The sequence below is a fragment of the Homo sapiens genome, chromosome 11 (assembly GCF_000001405.40).
Source record: "Homo sapiens chromosome 11, GRCh38.p14 Primary Assembly".
In the NCBI taxonomy this organism is placed as follows: domain Eukaryota; kingdom Metazoa; phylum Chordata; class Mammalia; order Primates; family Hominidae; genus Homo; species Homo sapiens.
Window position 1 is genome coordinate 124,509,440 of NC_000011.10, and position 23,879 is coordinate 124,533,318.

At 37.7% G+C, this 23,879-nt stretch overlaps 2 pseudogenes, besides 2 other annotated features; one reads left to right on the forward strand and one right to left on the reverse strand.

Moving 5' to 3' along the window:
- Positions 502–1,136: an enhancer, noted in NCBI's record as "H3K27ac-H3K4me1 hESC enhancer chr11:124379837-124380471 (GRCh37/hg19 assembly coordinates)". NCBI's record gives its function as "activates a minimal SCP1, AML or CMV promoter by ChIP-STARR-seq in primed H9 embryonic stem cells {active_cell/tissue: H9 hESC(primed)}" and the evidence as "EXISTENCE:reporter gene assay evidence [ECO:0000049][PMID:30033119]".
- Positions 1,137–1,770: an enhancer, noted in NCBI's record as "H3K27ac-H3K4me1 hESC enhancer chr11:124380472-124381105 (GRCh37/hg19 assembly coordinates)". NCBI's record gives its function as "activates a minimal SCP1, AML or CMV promoter by ChIP-STARR-seq in primed H9 embryonic stem cells {active_cell/tissue: H9 hESC(primed)}" and the evidence as "EXISTENCE:reporter gene assay evidence [ECO:0000049][PMID:30033119]".
- On the reverse strand, positions 6,871–7,803 carry OR8B10P (olfactory receptor family 8 subfamily B member 10 pseudogene; annotated as a pseudogene).
- On the forward strand, positions 22,168–22,546 carry OR8A3P (olfactory receptor family 8 subfamily A member 3 pseudogene; annotated as a pseudogene).

Consider the following 23,879-nt stretch of genomic DNA (forward strand, 5'->3'; position numbering starts at 1 on the left):
CTTTTCTATACTGGTTATTTTGTCTGTCAGCTCCTGCATTGTTTTGTCATGATTTTTAGCTTCCTTGGATTGGGTTTCAATGTACTCCTGTAGCACAATGACCTTCATTCCTATCCATATTCTGAATTCTATTTCTGTCATTTCAAGCATCTCAGCCCAGTTCAGACCGCTTGCCGGATAGGTGATGTGGTTGCTTGGAGGAAAGAAGGCATTCTGGCTTTTTGAGTTGTCAGGGTTCTTGCACTGATTCATTTTCATCTTTGTGGGCTTATCTACCTTCAGTCTTTGATGTTGCTGACTTTGGATGGATTTTTTTTTCCTTTTATCGTATTTGATGACCTTGAGGGTTTGATTGTGGTATAAGGTGGATTCAGCTGACTGGTTTTGTATCTGAAAGATTTTAGGGGGCCAACATGCAGCTCCCAACTCCTGGACTGTGTGCTCTAACTCTGGGGGACTTGTATTGTGCCCCAACTTTGTTTTCTGGCTCCTTATGGTTAGTAATCCACTGCACTGGTGGGGGATGAGGTGTTACTGGACTGCTGGTCACTACACTCTGATGGGTGGTGTCAGCCAAAGCATTTCATAGTGCAGTGACAGTGTGATCTGTCCTTGTTCACACATGCCAGCAGCAGAGGTAACGGCAGGTGCAGCAGGGTGCTAGTGGGTGCCGGGATGCCTGCCTCCCTGCAGGTGTTTACCACAGTGGCAGAGGCAACATAGCTGGGGGACGTGGGGGGCGGGCCTTGCTGGCAACTGTGTGCACTGTCACACTGGAAGTGGTGTTGGTTCAGGGGTGGGGCACTTGTAGGCACAAGTCTGGGTGCTTCCTCTGTGCCCCACAAGCAGGAGTGATCACTTAGGGCAAGGGAGGATCCACTGTTAGCACAATGGTGGGGCACTGGCGGGAATAGAGCTGGCTGGGTCTTTGCTTCCAAGGCTCTGTCTGCAATGGCAGTCAGGGGACGGCAGGGCAGACTGCATTCCTGCACACCGGCAAGGCAAGGAAAGCAAAACCTGCCCACGCAGGCACTCACCAGCAAAGCAAGGTTGGGGGTTGCCATGGGCCTGAAGGAAGCTACCATATGAGGAGAGAGGGAGCATGTGGGCTGGTGTGTGGCCATAGAGGCTGCCCTTTGGGAGCTCTCTACCAGTCAGGCACAATCTGCCAGTGCAGAAGCTATGATGCAGCCCCCATGGCACCTGAGACTGCCTTGCAGGCAGGCACAGCCAGGCTGAGGACCCAGGAGAGGCCAGCAGCCCAAGGGTTGCTCAGGTCAAACCAGCCCTGTCTGATGGGCAAGACTGCCCTGCAGAGTTGAGGTCTGACTGTCCTTCTTGGGCTAAAGTCTCCTATGGGAGTAAGTTGAGCCTAGGGGAATGGCTGTCCCTGCCCATGCTCTGCTACGGATACTTCCACACCAAACCCTCTGGGCTCATAATCAGGCTTGCTGCCCAAACCACTTCTTTAAGCAGCCCTCCTTGCCAACTAGAATGTCCGTGGTGGCCGAAGGGTCTCCTCCTACTGGGGTTCCAGAGCCCCGTGGTGAGAGCAGGTTGTTCCTTGCCAGTTCAACTCACTCATTCCCCTAGAGCTGTTGGGGGCCAGGAATGAGTCCTCGTGCATGGCAGCTCCATGCACATTCCCAGCTTTCTTCCCCTTCACCCCAGCTTCTGTGTCTTCCCTCCATCCACCCTCAGTGCCTTCCCTCTGAAGATCTGTTAGGAGCACGCCAGTCATTTCAGTCCCTCAGTAAAAGGTGCTCCACCTGGCTGCGTCTAGTCAGCCGTCTTGCCCTCCTCTTGTTTCCATTCATGTTTTTAAAATATTCATTAAATCAAGGAATGATGGATACCTCTTTAAGATGGCAAAATATATAAATTTCAGCCCAAAGCCAGCAACTTACTTTGGAAACACTAGCATCAAAACCAGGATGCTTACAGCCTTCACTGTAAGCAATTATTTAACACTGTATTAAAGTTATTAGAAAATGCAGGTGTAAATGGGAAAGAAATAAGAGGCATAAGTGTCAGGAGGAAAAAATTACAGCTATCTCTATACAGATAAAATTTATTATGTATTTGGAAAGCCTGAGAGAATCTATAGAAAAATCTCTACAAATAATAACAGTTACATTACAAAGTAGATAATTAACAGAGTAATACATCGAATGCATATGTATAAGTAATAATAATATCTAATGAAAGATAAGACAAAATAAAACAAAATTCCCAAGCACAATTATAATAAGAAATATGCAAAACATAGATAAGGAATTATGAAACACTCTTAAAAGATACTAAAGTAGACCCCCAAGACATGGAAAGGCATATCACAGTTTATGATTGGAAGCCTCAAGATCCAAAGATTTTGATTCTCCTTAAATTTACTTCTAAATTTAAGATGCAATCTTAAATGCATCTGTGCAGCAAATATGCCATCAGGTTTTTTTCTGGAGCTAGACAGATTAATTATAAAGATTATGGTTAAACATGAATAGTCAGCAAAACCCTAAAAAAGAGGAACAATATGTGGGAGGTTACCCTCAAGATATGAAAACATAATGAAGCTTCTACAGTTAAAGTAGTGTGATATTGGCTTATGGGTAGACAGATACATAGACCAATGGAACAGAATGGAAAAACACAGAAATAGCCCAGCTGCCTTTGAAATTCAGTATGAGATAAAGGCAGGAGCTCAAAAGTAGAAAAAAGAGGGACTATTTAATAAATGACAATAAAATAACTGGGTAACCATAAGAAAAAAGACAAAGTTGGATCTATTCCTCACATGATACACTGGTATAATTTCTAAATAGATGAGACATCCCAATGTAAAAGAATGAAGCCATAAAAATATTATTAAAAAATGAATTTTCTTCATCACCTAAGAAGCGACAAAACTCTTAACTTTGATTAAAATACCTGAAACAATAAAAGATTAATACATTTAAGGTAAAAAAATTGTATCATGAGAAAAGTCAAAAACCAAATCACAAATTGGAAAAAAAATACATGCAACTTACACCTCAGACAAAAAGCTATTATTCCTAATATACTGTTCTCTTAAAACTTGAAAAGATCAAAATCCCAATAGTTAAGTGAGGAAAAGGTACAAAACAAATAGACCATATAGGAATACCAATAGCTATTAAAAACATGAAAACATCCCCAGTCTTTCTCATAATAAGAGAAATGCAAAATTAAACAACACAAAAACTGTTTCTCACCTATCAGGTTGGAAAATTTGAAAATTCTGAGAAGATGCTGGGTTGGAGAGACTATAGGAAAGTAGACACTGTCATTCACTGCTACAGAAAATACAAATGCCTGTTCTCCCCAAAATGATCCACAGATTCAAGACAATTCCACTAAACTTTCAGAAGGTTATTTTTGTTGGAATTTATAAGTTTATTCTGAAAACTAATATGGAAAATCAAAGGACCTAATATAGCCAAAATAACTCTTTAAACGGTGAATGATGATGGAGGACTTACACTAACTGATTTCAAGAATTATCCTAAAGCTACAGTAATCAAAGCTGTGTGATATTGCTCTCAAGATAGATAAATGAAAGGGACAGAAGAGAGAACAGAAACAGACACACACAAATAGGATCAGCTGAATTTTAACTTAGATGAACAACCATAGGAAAGCTATGTGCAAAAAAAATTATAGATAATAATTAATAATCCATGCCTCACAATATGTACAAAGATAAACTCAAAATGGGTTACAGATACAAATGTAAAAAAAAAAATACAAAACTTCTGCAATAAGATGTAGGAGAAAATCTTTGTAACATTTCTTAAACAAAAAGTTTTGGATATAACAACAAATCTACAATTCATGAATTTAAAAAGTGATAAATTGGACTTCACTAAAATTAAGAACTTCTGTTAATAGAATTAAAAGATAAGCCATGAACTGTCTGAAAATTTAAAATTTGATAAATGAGTATTAGGCTTATTACCTGCATGACAAAATAATCTGCACACCAAATCCCAGTGACATACGATTTACCCATGTAACAAACCTGTACATTAGCCCTCTCTGCCTAAAATAAAAGTTTGAAATAAAAATAAAATAAAATAAAACTTGAAAAAGGACTTGAATCCTTTTTTGACTCAAATTTTTTGAAAACCATTTGGCAGTATTTATAAAAACTAAATATTATGTCTACCCTATTATTGAGCAAGTCCACATCTCATTATATACCCAAAAGAAATGTTTCCATAGTTCAACCAAAATACATGTTCACAAATGTTCATAGAAGCTTTATTAATAATAAGCAAAAACTGGAAACTAACTGTTCATTAACAGGATAAATAATTGTATACACATAATGGGATACTACATAGAGACAAAATAATAACGTTAATCTCTGCATACATGCAACAATACAGATGAGTATCACAGCCTTTATGTTGGGGAAAAGAAACCAGAAACAGTACAGTACATGTTGATATGAACAGTGGCTAGCTGTGGGAGTGGGCGTTGAGAGAGGGTAGTGTTCACTGGGAATGAACAAGAGAAGACCTTCTAAGGTGGTTGAAAGCATTTTACATTTTAATCCAGCTTGTGGTTACACAGGCACATACATATGAAAAAGTTCAATGAGCTATATACTTAAAATCTGTACACTTTACTGTAAGTTAGTCTACAACATTTTATAAAGGTAGTATCTATTTTATTTTATTACTGATATTGGACTGCATACCCACCACACCCACCCCACTCCCAAATTATAGGTCCCTTGGATTCAGTGGTCTATTCAATCCCATCTAAACCACAATCCCGCCACTGTACGCCTATTCTTTTCATTTCACTAACATTGAACAGAATCACTGTAGTGCAAACTAAACATTTCTCCAAACTTCCCTTATTTACCAGTAGAAGGGGACTTCCCTACAGAAAAGTTCCTAAGCATTTCACTTATCACTGCTTCTCAAAGAAAGTTTACCACTCCTGGTGGGTTTAGATTCTTTATATACAGCTATATTCCCCTTTACATAATATTGGGGATGTATTAGCTTATCTGGAGAGCACCATTGCTTCACCACATGTCCCATTATTAAAATATCACGGCTTTCTGCAAGGCCTGAAAATTTAATTATCAATTGCCTCTTCTAATAAGCAACTGCGGCCGGGCACAGTGGCTCACATCTGTAATCCCAGCACTTTGGGAGGCCAAGGCGGGTGGATCACGAGGTCAGGAGTTTGAGACCAGCCTAGCCAAGAGACCAGCCTGGCCAATATGGTGAAACTCCGTCTCTACTAAAAATATAAAAATTAGCCGAGCGTGGTGATGGGCACCTTTAATCCCAGATACTTGGGAGGCTGAGGCAGGAAAATTGCTTGAACCCAGGAGGCAGAGGCTGCAGTGAGCCAAAGATTGCGCCATTGCACTCCAGCCTAGGTGACAGAGCAAGACTCTGACTCAATATAAATAAATAAATAAATAAGGAACTGCTTGGTTCTGCCCTGATATGTTCCCCAAACTATTTTCTGCTCTGTTACTTCCTCTTGACCAGTAACATCCATTAGAAAATAATGCAAATCATGTATGTAATTTTAAATTTTCTAGTACATAAAAAACTGAACAGAAATTATTTTAATGATATATTTTATTTAACATAATATATCCAAAATGTTATTTCAACATATAATTAATATAAAAATTAATCAGTGGGGGCCAGGCACAGTGGCTTAAGCCTGTAATCCTAGCACTTTGGGAGGCCGAGGCGGGTGGATTGCCTGAGCTCAGGAGTTTCAGACCAGCCTGGGCGACATGGTGAAACCCTGTCTCTACTAAAATACCAAAAAAAAAAAAAAAATCAATGGGATGTTTTATATTTTTTATAATAATTCTTCAAAGATCTAATGTGCATTTTATACTTACATTGCACACTTAGAGTATGTATCAATATGGATGATCACTTTTCAAGTGTTCAATAGACATGCATGGCTAGTCACTACCATATTGGATAGTACAGCTCCCAATCATCTTGAACTACATACTTCTCCATAAGACCTCTAACACCCAAGTTAACCCTTGAAATGAAACTCCAGATGCTGTCTCTGTTGGTCTTAAAATAACATGACACCTCCACCCAACATCTTTACATCCCTTAAAATTTTATATCTCTCCCTTGGAAGTTCTAAACCACTAAACTAGTTCTAAACCCTAGGGCTCCACTCACCAAGTCAGTGGGCCCCACGCTTACTTCTATATGAAACCTAACATACTTCCCACTTACACATTATAAAATTCATCAAACACTGATCTTGTCATTTTGCCAAGACCACCTCAACAAAACGTTTCACCTCCTACGTTCTTGCAAAAAGTGATACATTAAAATTATCCTGTGAAAAATAGCATGAAATTACTGTGAATATATTTAGAACTTAAATTTGTTAGGTCAACTAGCATGTGAAATGAAATCTTCCAAAAAGAAATGAGACAATAAAGAATAGCATAAAGGAAAACACTGTGGATTGGGATTCGAGCTGGGATTCCAGTCCCAGGTCTGCCACTAGGTAATTTTATGTTCCTGGGCAAATACACAAATACTTCTGAGTCTGCAATTTGTGGTGTATTACATAAAGGGGAAAGATAAAATTATTCCTAAGCCTCATTCAACATTGAATATTCTATAGGTGTAGAAACTTCTTTATAAATCAAGGAAGAGATGGAGGTGAGGGTGGGGAAGAATAAATCCACTCAGAAAAGAGAGTTAAAATTTTCTCTATATATAGGATGGAAAGCACTGGAAGCTTAGATTCCTCACTGAAAAAAAAATCATCGCAAAAGCAATCTGATTTTAAAAAAATCCTAGTATCTCTTTTCTGTTTCTAAAATTTTTTTCAAGAAAAGCTTATTCTGGAAAAGGTTCTCTTCAGGGCAAGTTTGACATCCTTATTCCTCAGGCTGTAGATTAATGGGTTAAACATGGGCACCACAGTGGTATAGAACAGGGAGGACACTTTCCCCTGGTCCAGGGGTAAAATGGAAGGGGGTTTGAGGTACGTAAAAGCTCCTGACCCAAAGAAAAGAGAAACTGCAATTATGTAGGAGCTGCAGCTACTGAAGGCTTTAGACCTGCCCTCAGCAGAACTAACGCGGAGAATGCTGGAAAGAATAAAACCATAAGAGATAAAAACGGCAACAATGGGCACCCCAATGCCAACGGTCACAACAATAAAGATGACCAGGACATTTATGTAAGAGCCGTTGCAGGAGAGCTCAAGAAGGGGAAGGATGTCACACATGTAGTGATTGACAAGGTTGTCTGCACAAAAGGTGAGAAACACTATATTTCCTGTATGAGCCACAGCCCCAAAAACCCCCATCCCGTAGACACCCAGTAAAAGGAGCAAACACACCTGGGGAGACATGGTGATCGTGTACAACAGTGGGTTACAGATGCCCACGTAGCGGTCCTACACCATCGCCGACAGGATGAAGGACTCAGAAAAGACAAAGAAACAGAAGAAGAAGAACTGACTCATACACCCTGTGAAGGAAATAATGTTCTTCCTTGAGACAAAACTCATCAGCATTTTGGGAATGATGGTCGTAGAGAAACTAAAATCTACGAGGGACAAGTTGAAGGGGAAAAAGTACATGGGGATATGCAGGCGAGAGTTGAGCCCTATCAGGATTATCAAGCCCAGGTTCCCCACCACCGTGACCGCGTAGAAACCTAGAAACAGGAAGAAGACGGGGACCTGGAGTCCCGGCTGGTGGATTAAGCCTGCGAGGATAAACTCTGTCACGGAGGAGGAGTTCTCGGCAGCCATTCTCCTCTAGGCAAAGCTGTGAAGGAAAAAGACTCAGTGAGAGAACGAGAAAGAATCCTCCCCTGCTTAAGAATGACATCGGAGCAGAGAGATTATTGAACTTCTAGAAGATATTTCCTTATTCCCTTGTCTCTGTTTTCACCTTCCCCAAGTGCCCTTTAGCCATCCTGGTAACTGTCTGAGGGTGACATTTGCAGAGTGAAGGCTGCCGAGACTAAGGAGAGAGTCGGCAGAATTGAGCTGGAACAACCCTCCAACCCTCGCCGTGGCCCTCCCCGCTGTGTACTTCATTCCCTCTACAGCCCTTGATCAAGTCGGTAAAACCGGCGGCCCTTCTCTGGAGAGGTGGGAACCACTTGACCTTTCCAGACCTTCTACTTTGGGGTCTGTACTAAACGGAGCAGTAAGATGACGTTGTATCGTCCACAGTCTTTACTGGCATGACTGTGGAATTAGTATAGGATAATAGGGATGGAGTAATTATGTAACGTTATTCATTAAAAGCTAAGAAAAAGGAAGAGAAACATTTATCAAATGTGTCTGAATGCTGTCTGGCATTACAACCATCACCATTCGACACATGAGGATACAAAGCCTAAGCCACTTGCACAAAGCTCTAGTGCAACTGAGTTGCAGCAGCAGGGAAACTCCGTGGTCTGCCTCCCCTAGTCTGAGCTTTTAACCACTCTGCTGTGGCACCAGTGGCTCAGACAGGCACTCACCCTCTACAGCTTGGAGCCACAGTGCTGCTGTCTACTGCCCCTCGCCCATCTCTTTTGCAGAAATCCAAATGGCCTTGCTGTAAAGAAAGTGGCAACTTAGAGCCCAGACACCCTCTGCTTCTGCTTCTCCACTTTGAGGATTAAAACCTCCAATTTATCTTGATTCTTTTGCTGAGATGAAGAACACTATCTCTGATCATGGCTTTGCCCCGAGGCTTCTGCCCAGCTTCCAGAGATGAGACCGCAGTCTTTCCTGACACTGCGGATAACAAGCATCTGGAGAGTTTTATTCTGGAATAGAGACCTCAGAGTAGTTACGGAGGCTCCCTCAGGACCATTGCCAGAGACCAAGTTCTCTAAGGAAAAGGAAATGTTTGTTTTCACACTTGATAATGCTCCACGGGGCTTTTAATGACCTAATATTTCATTCGGGTCGCATCGTTTTAAGCACAATTTTTCTTGCTACCTTATATTGACAACTTACTGTGTACCAAACACTGTATCTGACCCAGCACCTTCATACAGACACCAAGGATCCAACAACAATGTCCAATTTTACCTCATTTATTTCTCACAGTACCTTCATAAATCAGACATGTTAATCTCCACTTTAAAAGTGAGAAGCACACGCAGCTAATAGATTCTAGAATCTTGAGTCAAACTCTGGTCTGTCCAGCTCCAAATGTCACAGGGGCGAGGGACCCTGCTGAGCTTCTTAAGCAATCACAAGACACTTAATGTGTGTAACTGACAACACCCAATTTTGTCTCCAGACACCAGAGTTGGCTCCTCTAAACATTGTCAAAACCATTTTCAGGAGGGGATCTCATTAATACAGGGACTAATACAGTTTCCTGTGGCAACTAGCCTTTCACACCCCTAACCAGGGCCTTTTGTGTATTAAGGATGATACATTTCATAGCCAAGAAATAAATCTCTATTTGGGGAAATTAGAGCTTCAGTATGCCAACAGGTTAGATATGTTTTTGATCCTGCTTCGATGGCAGAAATATTCTTGGAGAAGTTATAAAATCTTAACACAAAAGCAGAAGTCCATCTTCAGGCAAGTCCAAGTGAAACCACCGCACACAAGCCTGTGTGTTTATGAGGATGTGCACATATGTCAGTCAAGCCATGCTCACTCTCAGCTCAGTCTCAGCAATGAGGTTGCCTCATCTGTCGTTATACACTTAGAATTGTCCACACCCCGGAGTGACCCTAATGGATCCCAATCCCTGTCTCAGTCCCACTGCACAAAAGTTACAAAGGGAGAAAAATAATTTATTAAACAAAATGTACATGAGTCCATTAAGCAGGCTTTCCTTCAGATCCAAGTGCAAAGAAGACATTGGAGGTTCTCTGGAAGCTCTATGGGGAATTTTGTCTGTTACTTCAGAGACAGTTGCCATGGCAACTACATTTCCAAATGCATCTTAGACAAGGCTTCTCTAAAGCTGTGTTACCTGATGACTCACTTCAGTACAAGCAGCAAGCAAAAAAAAAACCTATCTGAAAAAATTTTTTCTTCTTGTATCTATTTCATACTTAAACGATATATTATACATGTTACATTACAGAGCATGTGAACATTTACATACAATAAAATATCTTTACATATATGTCTCATGCATGTGTGTTAGCTCTCAGACTTCAGGTAGATCATCAAGTGGTGACAGTATGGCACGGGGTCAATCACTAAACTTACTAGTTTCCCAACCACAATAAGAAGAAGCACAAACCTGGCCAGAGAGGAGAGACGGCACTTGAAATAGTCATTTCAATAGCATTCAAATAGCCTTAATTAACTCCTGAGAAAGAAGATAGAATTAAATTCATCTATCACCAGTCATATGGGTCTGCAATGTCCTTAATGTTAAATTGATTTAATAAGTGTATTTAGCATGTATAGTAATATGTGAGGTCAGGGATACAAAAGGCATTGTTTGTGCCAGAAAGAAATGCATAGTCTAATAGAAACACGTCCCATATTGGCTCATCTTTCTACTTCTGTCCCTTCATATTTCACATTTACCAGGATTCACTTCTGTGCCTTATTTCCACGCTTTTTCTGCTTCCTTAAATTCTCAGTGAGTTACTTTGTTTCATGGCTTCAACAAACCCTCTATATGGATGGCTGCCAAATTTGTGTCTTTAGTTCTCAGTTTCCTGTTAAGCTCCTTTCCTGTGTGTCCCACATTTATTTTGGATATTTCTAAGAGGCTGTTCTCCAATCATCCCTGAACTTGAGTACAAAGATGAGTATATGGCTCTTTACCCCAAAAGTAAATGTCCTCTCAACCATTCCCTTTATTTATTTGGCTGTAATCAATGATGAGAAAGTAGAATGTAGAACTTATAAAGTTAATCTAAATCCTGGCTTTTCTAGAACCATCCCAGTTTATGCCTATTATCTCAGAAAAATTACTAGTATCTCCCCTTTCATTCTGAAATATGTCCCAGTTGAATAAGCATTCAGAGCATGAACTTTGGAATCTGGCAGAACTCAGCTCAAATCTCTGACACTTACAGACTGTGTGATCTTGGGAACTTTGTTTAACCCTTCTATGAGTTTCTGGTGTTGTAATGTTAAAATGGGAAAAATACTGGTAATTCAAAGGATTGTTTTAATGAATAAATAATGCACCTTCTGGCACAAAGACACAAAAAAATCTATTATTATTTATTATTATTTCGTAAATAATTCTTTTAAGTGTATTACTTTTATTTAATTTTCATTAAATAAATAAAATTTACTTATCATCTATTAGAGTAGTAACAATTACTATCCCCTTGGATAAAAGTAATTGCAGAATGGGCTAGAACAGGAAGAGACTGAAGGCAGGGAAATCAACTCAGAGACTACACAAGAGTAGAAACAGAGAGGATGAACAGTGCCACATGTTATGATATTACGATGAAATGCAAAACAATGTTTGGCATCTCTGTGCTTGGAGAGAGAAAAACAGAGACGAGGAGACATACATCAAGTTTGATTGCATTTTCAAGCCCAGGAAAACAGGAGCAGAATGACAAGAATGGAGAAATAAGGAGGGAGAAGGGTAAAGAGCTGAGTTTTAGACAAAAATGTGAAATATTAACAGGACCTCCAAATGACAAGGATCAGAAATAAGTAGAAAACTGGAAATCAGAACTTGGGTAAAGGGATCAGATACAAATAGAGGAATCATCTGAGCAGAAGTGGTCATGGAAAAATGGGGAAATAGCCACAAGGAAGAGTGTTTAAAGACAGAATAATCGGGACAAGGATTGACTCTTTCAAAAACGCCAACAAATAGGTAATGAAAGAAGGACATTGACAAAAGGAAATGTCAAAAAATAAAAAAGCAAATGTAGCAACTGAGAGCAAGCATTTGAGAAGAAAAATATCTGGAATTAAACCCCAACTGTGTTGCTCATTTCCCAGGTGAACTTGAATAAGTTACTTAACCCAGTTAAGACTCAGCGACCCTATCTAAAAAAAAATAGGGATAACAATATCAAATTTGCAGATGTTTGTGAGAATTACATTGTGCCCCAATGAATATTCATTTAGTCAATATTAGTGGAATTTATAAAACGTCACAGAAGCCAAAGGTGGAGAGAATTTCAAGAGTGAGGAATATATGTTACCAAGAGTTTCATGGGAAGAAAAACTGAAAAATAAGCTTAAACTAAGTCATTCTCTCGCCTTTCTATTCACTCATTTTTCCGTACCATTCTTACTGTGCTTAGTCTAATAAAATTTTATACTATTCATTGATTATTTCAAGACTATATTCCATAAGGCCCAACTAGATTAAATACTTCTTCAAGGAAAATTTTAAATCCTATAGCTTCGGGGGTACACTAACATAATCATTATTTATCAGATGACGAATACTTTATAGATAATCTTCAAAAAATGATGAATGTAATAAACTTGCATGTAAATATAATGCAATAAAAATCCATATTACAAAAACATAATTCTGGGGATTTTCTTAACTACCTGAAATAATTTGCCACATTTTATTCTCATGAAAAAAGTAATATGAGCTACACATAATTAAATTTACTGAAACTAAGTTAGAAGGCTTCACTGTGTTAACATTGATACTGACATTCATTGACACTGAAATGACAATGATGCCAGAAGATTTCTGTCTGTCAAGGTCAAAGTGTTTGTAGAAGACATCTCCCCCTTTCTTGTAGGTGCTGGCAAAAGAAAGTAGCTAAATGGCAGAAATTGCTCCGAAGGCTTTAGCTAGAGAGCTGCCAAGAAACTTAAAACTTCTCAAAACTGAATTCTCTTTCCTAGGGGACTTAAATTCTGGAAAAGTGCTAATTTATGCAAAGATACTGTAAAATCTATCATTTACAAGGAGTGTAAAGAGTACAAAAGAAATCAAGACTGTGCTAGAAAGTACAATATGGTGGGGTTAATCAGGACAAACCTATAAAAAACCTTCAAGCAATTTACTGGAAGTGAAGTACGTGGTTTGATGAGTAGAAGCAGGGAAATTATTCTAAGCATAACAGAGACATCTTAATTGACTAATAATAAAATTAAATTGAATGTCTTTTATGTGCAAAGAAACTAAGCGGTTTTATAAAGACAGCAAGGTAACAACGTTTTCTTGTTGGATAGACTCCTCTCTAGTCCTAATTGCAGGATTGAAGAGACTGTCTACAATTTCTAAAGACTTCTGAAAAGAAAAGCCACACACTCTCCCAGTGATGCATTCCAATATTTTGCAAAGCTTTCTCTCGGGAACTTTATTCTGGTGATTAACAGAAATCAAGAGGCAATGTAGCATCCTAGACAGATGCTAGGATTAGGAGTCTAAAGATCTGACTCTGGTCATGCAGTCTTGGAGAAGTCACTAAGATGTCCTTGCCTAGAAATTCCTCCTCTATAAAAGGAAAATTAAAACCTGCCTTATAGATTGCTTGAGCCCAAGAGTTTGAGACCAGCCTGGGCAACATAGTGAGACCTTGTCTCTATTTTATTTTATTCAAGAAAGAATTACTAGACCAACCAAGAAGCAGGAAAATGTGGCCCATAACCCAAAAGAAAAATTGGTTTATAAAAAGAAATTTTTAAAATGATAGAAATGATATTCGTGAAAGAGGGCTTTAAAACAACTGTTGGGCTGGACACAGTGTCTCATGCCTGTAATCCCAGCACTTTGGGAGGCCAACGCAGGCGATCACTTGAGCTCAGGAGGTTACAACCAGCCTGGGCAACGTGGTGAGACTCTGTCTCTACAAAAACTACAAAAATTAGCTGGACATGGTGGCACGCCCCTATATAGTCCCAGCTACTCAGGAGGCTGAGGTAGAAGGATCGCTTGAGCCCATGAGGCAGAGGTTTCAGTGGGCCCAGATTGCACCACTGCACTCCAGCCTGTAACCCCAGCACTTTGGGAGGCCAAGGCGGGCGGGTCACAAGGTCAGGAGATCGAGACCATCCTGGCCAACATGGTGAAACCCCATCTCTGCTAAAATCCAAAAAATTAGCCAGGTGTGGTGGTGCGCACTTGTGGTCCCAGCTACTCGGGAGGCTGAGGGAGGGGAATCGCTTGGGCCCAGGAGACAGAGGTTGCGGTGAGCCAAGATCGTGCCACTGCACTCCAGCCTGGCAACAGAGCTAGACTGTCTCAAAAAAAAAAAAAAAATGTAAGACTGTTATAACTATTCCCAGGAAGTTAAAGGAAAACGTGAACAGAGAGAAGACACGAGAAAGAGCCAATGGAACATCTAGGTATGAAAACTACAACATCCAAAATAAGGCTGAGATAATTCCACTCCCACTTCTCTCACTAACACAACAAACTTCTTCAAAAATCCCTGTAGGGTCAATGGTTTGCTTTGCTGGACAAGACCCCTCCCTTACTAGGCAAAAAATCAATTCAAATTTGAAGTTTTAAATTGATTTTTTGAGCTGTGATCTCACGTTTTGACAATTATGAGTTTCCACCAAGGTTATTCTGAGGACTCTAACTTGAAAATAAATAAAGGTGTGCTCACAGGAAAAAAAACAAAAAAACAAAAAACAAAACACCTGCCTTATATATGCCACAACATTCTTGAATAGATCAAACCAGCAGTTGTTAAATTTGATGAACATTTTTCAGTCTCTTTTTACTTGACACAGGGGACAGCTAACTCCTTGAAACACTCATTTTCCTTCTTTGAAGACACATCATCCTTCCGATCTTCCTCCAACTTCTGGCTACTTCTCAGTCTCCTTCAAGGGCAAACGTTGGATATTCCTCAGGGTTCTAGCCTCAGTCTTCTTCTCTCGGCTTTCTACTTATGCACTCCAAAATATTGTCTACTCTCCTGTCTCATATTACCCTCTGCTGATGACTTCCAGATCTGTATGTCTGTCCACAGCTGAACACTCGACACCTAAAATTCAACACATTAAAAAATCGGTATCACAATCTTTCCTCAAAAAACTTCTCCTTCCCCTATATTTCCCATCTTAATAACCAACACCATTTTCCCAGCTGCTGAATCACCTACATCAATAATAAAGTCAATTTGATTCTAACTTTTAAAAGAATCAGGCCAGTTCCCTGAAAATTAGTTCACTGAAATTTAATTTACCAACAGGACAATTTACCAAAAACCAATTCAACAATGAGCAATTTGCAAAACTTTGTTATCCCTTTTAACAACTTATTTTTTACAAGTACTCTACATATGCATTAGAAAAATTATAAAATACATAGTATTTTATACATAGTACTTTACAATAGAGCAGGAAATAAAAATTATTCATATTTCCACCACCCATAAATAACCACTGTTAAGATTTAGGTGCATTATGTTTGATGTTAGATTATATTGTACATATGATCTTGAAATATTTTTAAACTGTATATCATCGGCATCTTCTTATGTCAATAAATAAACATTATTTTTAATAGCTTTATGATATCCCTTCCATGGGAGTACTATCATTTCGTATGTCAATTCTTTGTTTGACATTTTATTATGTCCAGTTTTCACTATGATAAACACAGCAGAGATGAATATGCATTTTTGGAAACCTAACCATTTATTTTCTGAGGATGAATTCCTAGAAGTCAAATTGCTAAGTCTAAAAATATGCTGTTTAAGAATATTGCGGAAATGTTCTCAAGAAAGACTTTTGCAATAACACTCCTACTAGCAATGTCTGAGCATGTCTTTTTCTCCATGTCTTTTCTAACAATTTCCTAATGCATCCAATACATGCTAAAAATGCCATCACATTGTTTTAATTCATACTTCTTCGATTATATGTTAGGCTTTAGGAATTTATTTTTATATTTCTTGACCTTACCCATTTATACACATTATAGGAATATTTAAATCTACTTTGTTATACAGCCATTATGGAAAACAGTTTGGAGATTCCTCAAAAATGTTAAAATAGAACTACCATATGATCTAGCAATCCCATTACTGAGCAAATATCCAAAGGAAATGAAATCAGTATATTAAAGACATGTCTGCACTTCCATGTTTATTGTAGCACTATTCACAATAGTCAAGATATGGAATCAAACTAAATGCCCATCTAATAAAGAATGGATAAAGAAAATATGGTATATATACACAATGGAATACTATTCAGCCATAAAACAGAATAAAATCTTATCTTTTGCAGCAACATGGATGAAGCTGGAAGACATTATGTTAAGTGAAATAAGCCAGGCACAGAAAGACAAAATACTGCATATTCTCACTCAAATGTGGAAGCTAAAAATGTAAGGTGACTGTAGCAAATAACAATGTAATGTATATTTCAAGATAGCTAGAAGAAAAGATTTGGGATGTTATCACCACAAAGAAATGATAAATGTTTAAAGCTATTAATATGGTAATTAGCCTGATTTGATCATTATAAAATGTATACATGCATTGAAACATCATGCTGTATGCCATAAATATATACAATTATTATACATCAACCATAAGGTTTAAAAGTAATTAATAAAAATAAAATAAATACTTTATTGAGGTATAACTGAAGTAAAATAAACTCAATTGATGTATACAATTCAGTAATTTTTGACAAATGTATATATTCATGCAACCACCACTCAATCAAGATATATGTCATTTTCATTGCCATAAAAAGTTCCCTGGTATAATAAATGACCTTCAAGCTTGGTCTGAGCCAACTATTGCCTGATTTCAGTCACGATGCATTGTTTTTGCCTGTTATCAAATTTTGTAAAAATGTTATCATTCAGCATATACACTTTTTTGTCAAGTTCCTTTCACTCAGCATAAACATTTTTGATTCATTCATGTTATTGGGTGTATCAATAGTTCATCCCTTTTATTGTTGAATAATAATCATTCATATTAATAGACCACAATTTGTTTACGGCTTTGCACATTGAGAGAAATTTGGATCGTTTCCAATTTGGGACTAATGTAAATAAAAGCTTCTCAAATATCCATATGTAAGTCATTTGGTGGACATATGCTTCCATGTCACTTGGATAAATATCTTAGCAGTGGAATTGCTAGGTGAGCTAGAATGTGTACTTTTAATTATGTAAAAATCTGCCAAAATGTTTTCCAAAGTGGTTGTGCCATTTTATACTCCTACAAGCAATAACTGAGAGTTTCAGGTGCTCACCAATACTTGGTATTGTCAGTATTTTTAATTTAGCCATTCTATTGGGTATGAAATGGTGTCACAATTTTATTTACATTTCTCTCACTATTAGTGATATTAATCCTATTTTCATGTTCTTATAGACCAATTTGGCTATTTATATATTTCTTACTTGGCTATTATGTTTTCTTATTATTGCATCTAGATATAAGTCCTTTGTCAAATATATTTTGAAAATACTTAATCTCAGTTAGTGGCCTGTTTTTCATTTTCTTAGTAGTATTTGCAAGGAATAGAGTTTTAAATTTTTATGAAGTCCCATTTATATTGTGGTTAGTGATGTTTTTTGTTCTGTCTAAAATTATTTGCCTAGCCCAAGGTTGTAAAAGCTTTTTTTTCCTTCTATGTATTCCTTTAGAACTTGTATTATTTTTGTTTGTTTTCCTTTTATAAATTTATTTTTATTTTCAATTTTTGTAGGTACATAGTAGGTGTATATATTTATGGGGTATATGAGATGGCTTCATATAGACATACAATGTGAAATAAGCATATCATAAAGAATGGGGCATCTATTCCCTCAAGCATTTATCTTTTGAGTTACAAACAAAACAACTGCATTCTTTGAGTTATTTTTAAAAGTACAGCTAAATTATTACTGACTATATTCGCCCTGTTGTGCTATCAAATAGTAGGTCTTATTCATCCTTCCTATTTTTTTTTTTTTTTTTGTATCCATTAGCCATCTCCATCTCCTCCTTTTCCCCCTAACTACCTTCCCAGACTCTGGTAACCATCCTTCTACTCTCTATGTCCATGAATTCAACTGTTTTGATTTTTAGATCCCACAAATAAGTGAGACCATGTGATTGATGTTTGTCTTTCTGTGCTTGGCTTATTTCATTTAACATAATGACCTCCAGTTCCATCCATGTTGTTGCAAGTGACAGGATCTCATTCTTTTTTATGGCTAAATAGTACTCCATTGTGTATACATACCACATTTTCTTTATTCATTCATCTGTTTATGGACAATTAGATTGCTTTCAAATCTTCACTACTGTGAACAGTGCTGCAACAAGCATGGGATTGCAGATACCTTTTCGAGATACTGATTTCCTCTCTTTTCATTGATTGATGGATCATGTGATAGCTTTATTTCTAATTTTTTGAGGAATCTCCATAGTGATTGTACTAATTTTCATTCCCACCAACATTGTGCAAGGGTTCCCTTTTTTCCACATCCTCACCAGAATTCGTTATTGCCTGTAATTTGCATATAAGCCATTTTAACTGTGGTGAGATGATATCTGATTGTAATTTTGATTTGCCTTTCTGTGATGATTAATGATTTTGAGCACCTTTTCATATACCTGTATGCCAGTTGTATGTCTTCTTTTGAGAAATGTCTATTCAAATCTTTTGCCCATTTTTGATCAGATTATTAGATTTTTCTTATAGAGTTGTTTTATCTCCTTACATATTCTGATTATTAATCCCTTGTCAGATGGGTAGTTTGCAAATATTTTTTCCCATTCTGTGGATTGTCCAATTAAACTATGTTATATTATTTAGTATGGTTCCAAAGTTAATGAGTTTCTATACTTTTTTAGTCCTTTTACTATCCAAAATGTTCCTTATTTTGGATTATTTCTATTGTTATACTTTCAAGTTTGTGGATCTTTCTTTCCTTCAGTGTCTAATCTTCTATTAACCTTATTCAGTGTATACTTTATTTCAAATATTGTATTTTCTTTTTTTTTTTTTTCTTGAGATGCAGTTTTGCTCTTGTTGCCCAGGCTGGAGTATGATGGCGTGATCTCAGCTCACTGCAGCCTCCGCCTCCCAGGTTCAAGTGATTCTCCTGCCTCAGCCTCCCAAGTAGCTGGGATTACAGGCATGAGCCATCATGCTCGGCTAATTTTGTATTTTTAATAGAGATGGGGTTTCTCCATGTTGGTCAGGCTGGCCTCGAACTCCCAACCTCAGGTGATCCACCTGCCTTGGCCTCCCAAAGTGCTGGGATTACAGGCATCAGCCACTGCACCCAGCCCAGATATTGTATTTTCATCTCTAGTACTTCAGCTTAGGTCTTCATTATACTTTTCATTTTTCCCTGCATTGAGTTAATGTTCTCCTTTTCATTCTTGAGCATGTTTTTAATAAATGTAATAACATTTTTAAGGTCTCTACCTATTAATTTCATCATTGCTGTCATTTCTGGGTCTATTTCTATTGATTGCTCTTTCTTCTGGTTATGCTTATATTTTCCTGCTTCCTTTACTGGTTACATTTTATTGGATGCCAGAAATTGTGATTTTTACATTATCAAATGGAAGATTTTGTTGTATTCTTTTGAAGATGATCAGATATTTTTCTGGCACATAGTTAAGTTATTTACGTATAAGTTTGACTATCCCAAGTCTTGTTTTAAAGCTTTGTTAGGAAGATTCAAAGCTGTTTCACTCTTTTAAAGTCTCTACCTAATGCTGTATGTATTATGAGATGTCTACACAGTGGCTTGAAGGAAATCAGACTATTTCAAGCTTTTTATAAGTTTCTGAAGTTTTTTGACCACTCGTTTCATGTAGTCCTTCACTCTGAAATTTTATCCCACACATATGCAGATCAAGTTTTATCCCACACATATGCAGATCAAGAAATAGACGTTCCTCTGCAGATCTCTGATTTTCTATGTATAGCTCCCCCATTCTTGGGTATTCTGCCCTGCATCATCTAGCCACATACATCTTTCCAAATACTGACTTCTGATTTTTCAACTTAGACATCACTGATCTCTTTCTTTTGACCACTCTAGATTGCGGCATGAAAAATACCTATAGTCAAGAAAGCCAAACAATCAGAGGGCTCATGTTTTTTTTCTTTCCCTCCTTTCAGAAATCAGTTTGATATTGTCTGTTGTCAAACATCAGAAAAGTTGTGTTTCATTTATTTTGCCTGATTATCTAGTTGTTTATGGCCCAAAGACAATTTCAGTAGGAGTTTATCTTTCATGGATGGCAGTGAAAATTCACTCACTAAATTTTAACTATGCTGAATCACTATGTTGAAAAATTACTCAAATTCAAAAAATATTATTTTCACTGACATGGAATTTTTTTTTGCTTACCCATAAATCATAAAATCTAAGGAACAAAATAGCTTAATGTTATTTCATCTAATGACCCTTCTTGTTTAGAATGTAGGAATCTTTAGCCAATGTCAGGCAATTGACCTTCAAGGAACTTACATTCACCACTGTATAATTATTCAACACAATCTACCAAACTACCTCTAGCAAATAACTTACGAGAAAAAAATACCAGCTGCTTTTATAAATTATGTTTTCTTATGTTTTTTTTCTCATTAGATAGACAGGAGAAATGAAAAAAAATTATCCTAAGAAGATGCTCCAGTGACAGCAGTTGTTTCTTGAGATCAACTGTGAACTGCCATTTTTACTTAGATGTACCAACACCCCTTCTAAGGGCATCTACACATGATTACCATCAAGTGAATGTCTTCTCTGCATTGGTGATGTTTGCTCTAAAAATAGACAAACTATAAATAGCATTTTGAAATCAATAGAGTAGAAACAGGGAAATGGTAAAGCATAAGAGATCTTGACATTATTCCATAGAACACATTTGCTGTGAGGAGAGAAAGTGGCTAAGGATAGGCTGATCACTAAGAATCCCAGGATTTAAGAATATGCAGAGAGGGGCATCAGGGAAAATGCCCACTTTCCTCTCAAATCATTTTGTTCTTGGTTAGTGAGCTGCATTATATGCTTTTTTCTAGTTCTACCTACTCCTAATCCTGATTCAATCTGAACTTTTTCTGAATCCTCCGAGCACAGTAGACAGCAAACAATCCCAGATCTTTCCTCAGTGCTTTATTTTACTCAAGAGAAACTGTATTCCGGGCCTAATTTACCCAATTCTTCAAGCTACAAAGTTATTCGAGTTCAATATACACAAAACAGTCAAATAACAAAATCTTTACTTTCTTCTATGGCTGAACTTCTCTGCATACCCAGAGACACAGAGCTCAATGCCCAGAAAATGCCACAAATTAATTAAGACAGAATTCCTATAGGTTGAAACCTGATGTAATTATTTTTAAGGCTCCGTAGGTGATCATAACGTGTAGCAAAATTAAGGATAACTACCCTAGGACCTCAGGTTCAATAAAAAATTTGAACAAAGTCCAGATGGCTAATGAAAACTCATACTTGTACAGCAACTGAATTATCTGGAAAACATTTCCATGTATATTATTGATTTTTATTTTTAAAACAGTCTTGAAAATTGATATTATAACTCTATTTTTCAGAAATAGGAGTTAACTTGTGATTGTTGGCCCAGGCTACTAGGATTTGAGATGAGATGAGCTCATGTTTTCATTGTGGGTGTAATATTTTGGAACTGCATAGATGACAAGGGAGATACCATCTCCAGGATAAAATACATCTTTAATTCCAAGAAATAAGATATACTAGTAGTGGCCTCTAAGGTAATTAAGGAAGATACGGATAGTAAAACTCCAGGTGGAGCTTTTTCCCACCTTCATGATCTCCAAAACACTCCAAAGTTGCCTGAATCCTGGAAAACATTAGAAGGAGTGAGGAGATAAAATAAGGAAAAGTAAGGAAAGAATTCAAGATAACAAACTCAGGGGCAGATGCTTATATCTAGCCTAACCAGAAAGCCTCATATATAGCCTTCCTTAGGCTCTTCTCTTTCATCCCTGCAGACCTCCCACCCGGGGAAGGAGTGAGTTTCTTGGCTACAGAAAATCACTCTACACTTTGGGAGGCTGAGGCGGGTGGATCACTTGAGGCCAGACCAGTCTGGCCAACATGGTGAAACCCCATCTCTACTAAAAATACAAAAATTAGCCAGGCATGGTGACACACACCTGTAATCCTAGCTACTCAGGAGGCTGAAGTGGGAGAATTGCTTGAACCCATGAGGCGGAGGTTGCAGTGAGCCAGGGTTGCGCCACTGCACTCCAGCCTGGGTGACAGAGTGAGACTCTGTCTCGAAGAAAAAAAAAATCACTCTACAGTGACAGAGTTCATTCTCAGGGGATTAACAAAGCAACCAGATTTCCAGCTCCCTCTTTTTCTCCTCTTCCTCAGGATCTGCTTGGTCACCATGGTGGGGAACCTGGGCATGATCTCCCTGATTTGGCTGAACTCTCAGCTTCACACTCCCACGTACTACTTTTTCAGCAATCTGTCACTCGTGGATCTCTTCTACTCCTCCATCATTACCCCTAAAATGCTGGTGAACTTTGTGCCAGAGAAAAACATCATCTCCTACGCAGAGAGGGGCATCAGGGAAAATGCCCCTTTCCCTCTCAAATGATGTTGCTCTTGATGGATGAGCTGCATTATATGCTTTTTTCTAGTTCCAACCCATTTTATGAAGGAACTATTACCCTAATACCGAAGCCAGACAAAGACACTATAAGAAAAAAAAAAAACTATAGACCAATCTCTGATGAAAATAGATGAAAACATCCTCAACAAAACACTAGCAAACAAAATTCAACAGTGCATTTAAAGGATCATATACCATTATCAAGTGGGATTTATCCCAGGGATGCAAGAATAGTTCAGTATAAACAAATCAATGAATATAACACATCATATTAAAAGAATGAAGGATAATCGGCCGGGTGTGGTGGCTCACGCCTTTAATCCCAGCACTTTGGGAGGCCGAGGCAGGAAGATCACTTGAGGTCAGAAGTTCAAGACCAGCATAGGCAACATGGTAAAACTCCATCTCTACTAAAAATACAAAAATTAGCCGGATGTAGTGGCACGTGCCTAAAATCCCAGCTACTTGGGAGGCTGAGGCAGGAGAATCGTTTGAACACAGGTGGCTGAAGTTGCAGTAAGCTGAGATCGCACCACTGTACTCCAGCCTGGGTGACACTCCATCTCAAAAAAAAAAGAAAAATCACACAGTCATCTCAATGGATCCAAAAAATCATTCAACAAAATTCAACACCTTTTCATAATAAAAACACCCAATAAACTAAGTATAGAAGGAATGTATCTCAACATAATAAAACCGTAAAAGGCAAGCCCATAGGAAACATCATAATGGTGAAAAATGGAAAGGTTTCTCTCTAAGGTCTGGTACAAGGCAAGAATGCCCACCCTCACCACTTCTATTCACCATAGTATTGGAATTGCTAACTTGAGCAATTAGGCAACAAAAAGAAATAAACATCATCCAAATCAGAAAGTAATAAAATTATCTTAGTTTGCAGATGATATGATCTTATATTTGGAAAACCCTAAAACTCCACACACAAAAAACTGTTAGAGCTAATAAAAAAATTTAGTAAAGTTGCAGGATACAAAATCAACAAACATTAGCATTTCTACGCACTAACAGTGGCCTATCTAAAAAGGAAATTAAGAAAGCAATCCCACTAACAATAGTATCAAAAATAATAAAATACTTAGGAATAAACTTAAGTGAGAAAGTGAAAGACTTGCACATTGAAAACTAAAATATTGATAAATGAAGTTAAAGAAGACACAAATAAATGGAAAGACATCCATGTTTATGGATTGGAAATTTTAATAGTGTTAAAGTGTCCATACCACCCAAAGTTATCTACAAATTCAATACAATCTCTACCAAAATCCCAGTAGGATTTTTTTTATAGAAGTGGAAAAAAATCCTGAAATTCATATGGAACCAAAAGAAAAACAGAATCACACTTAA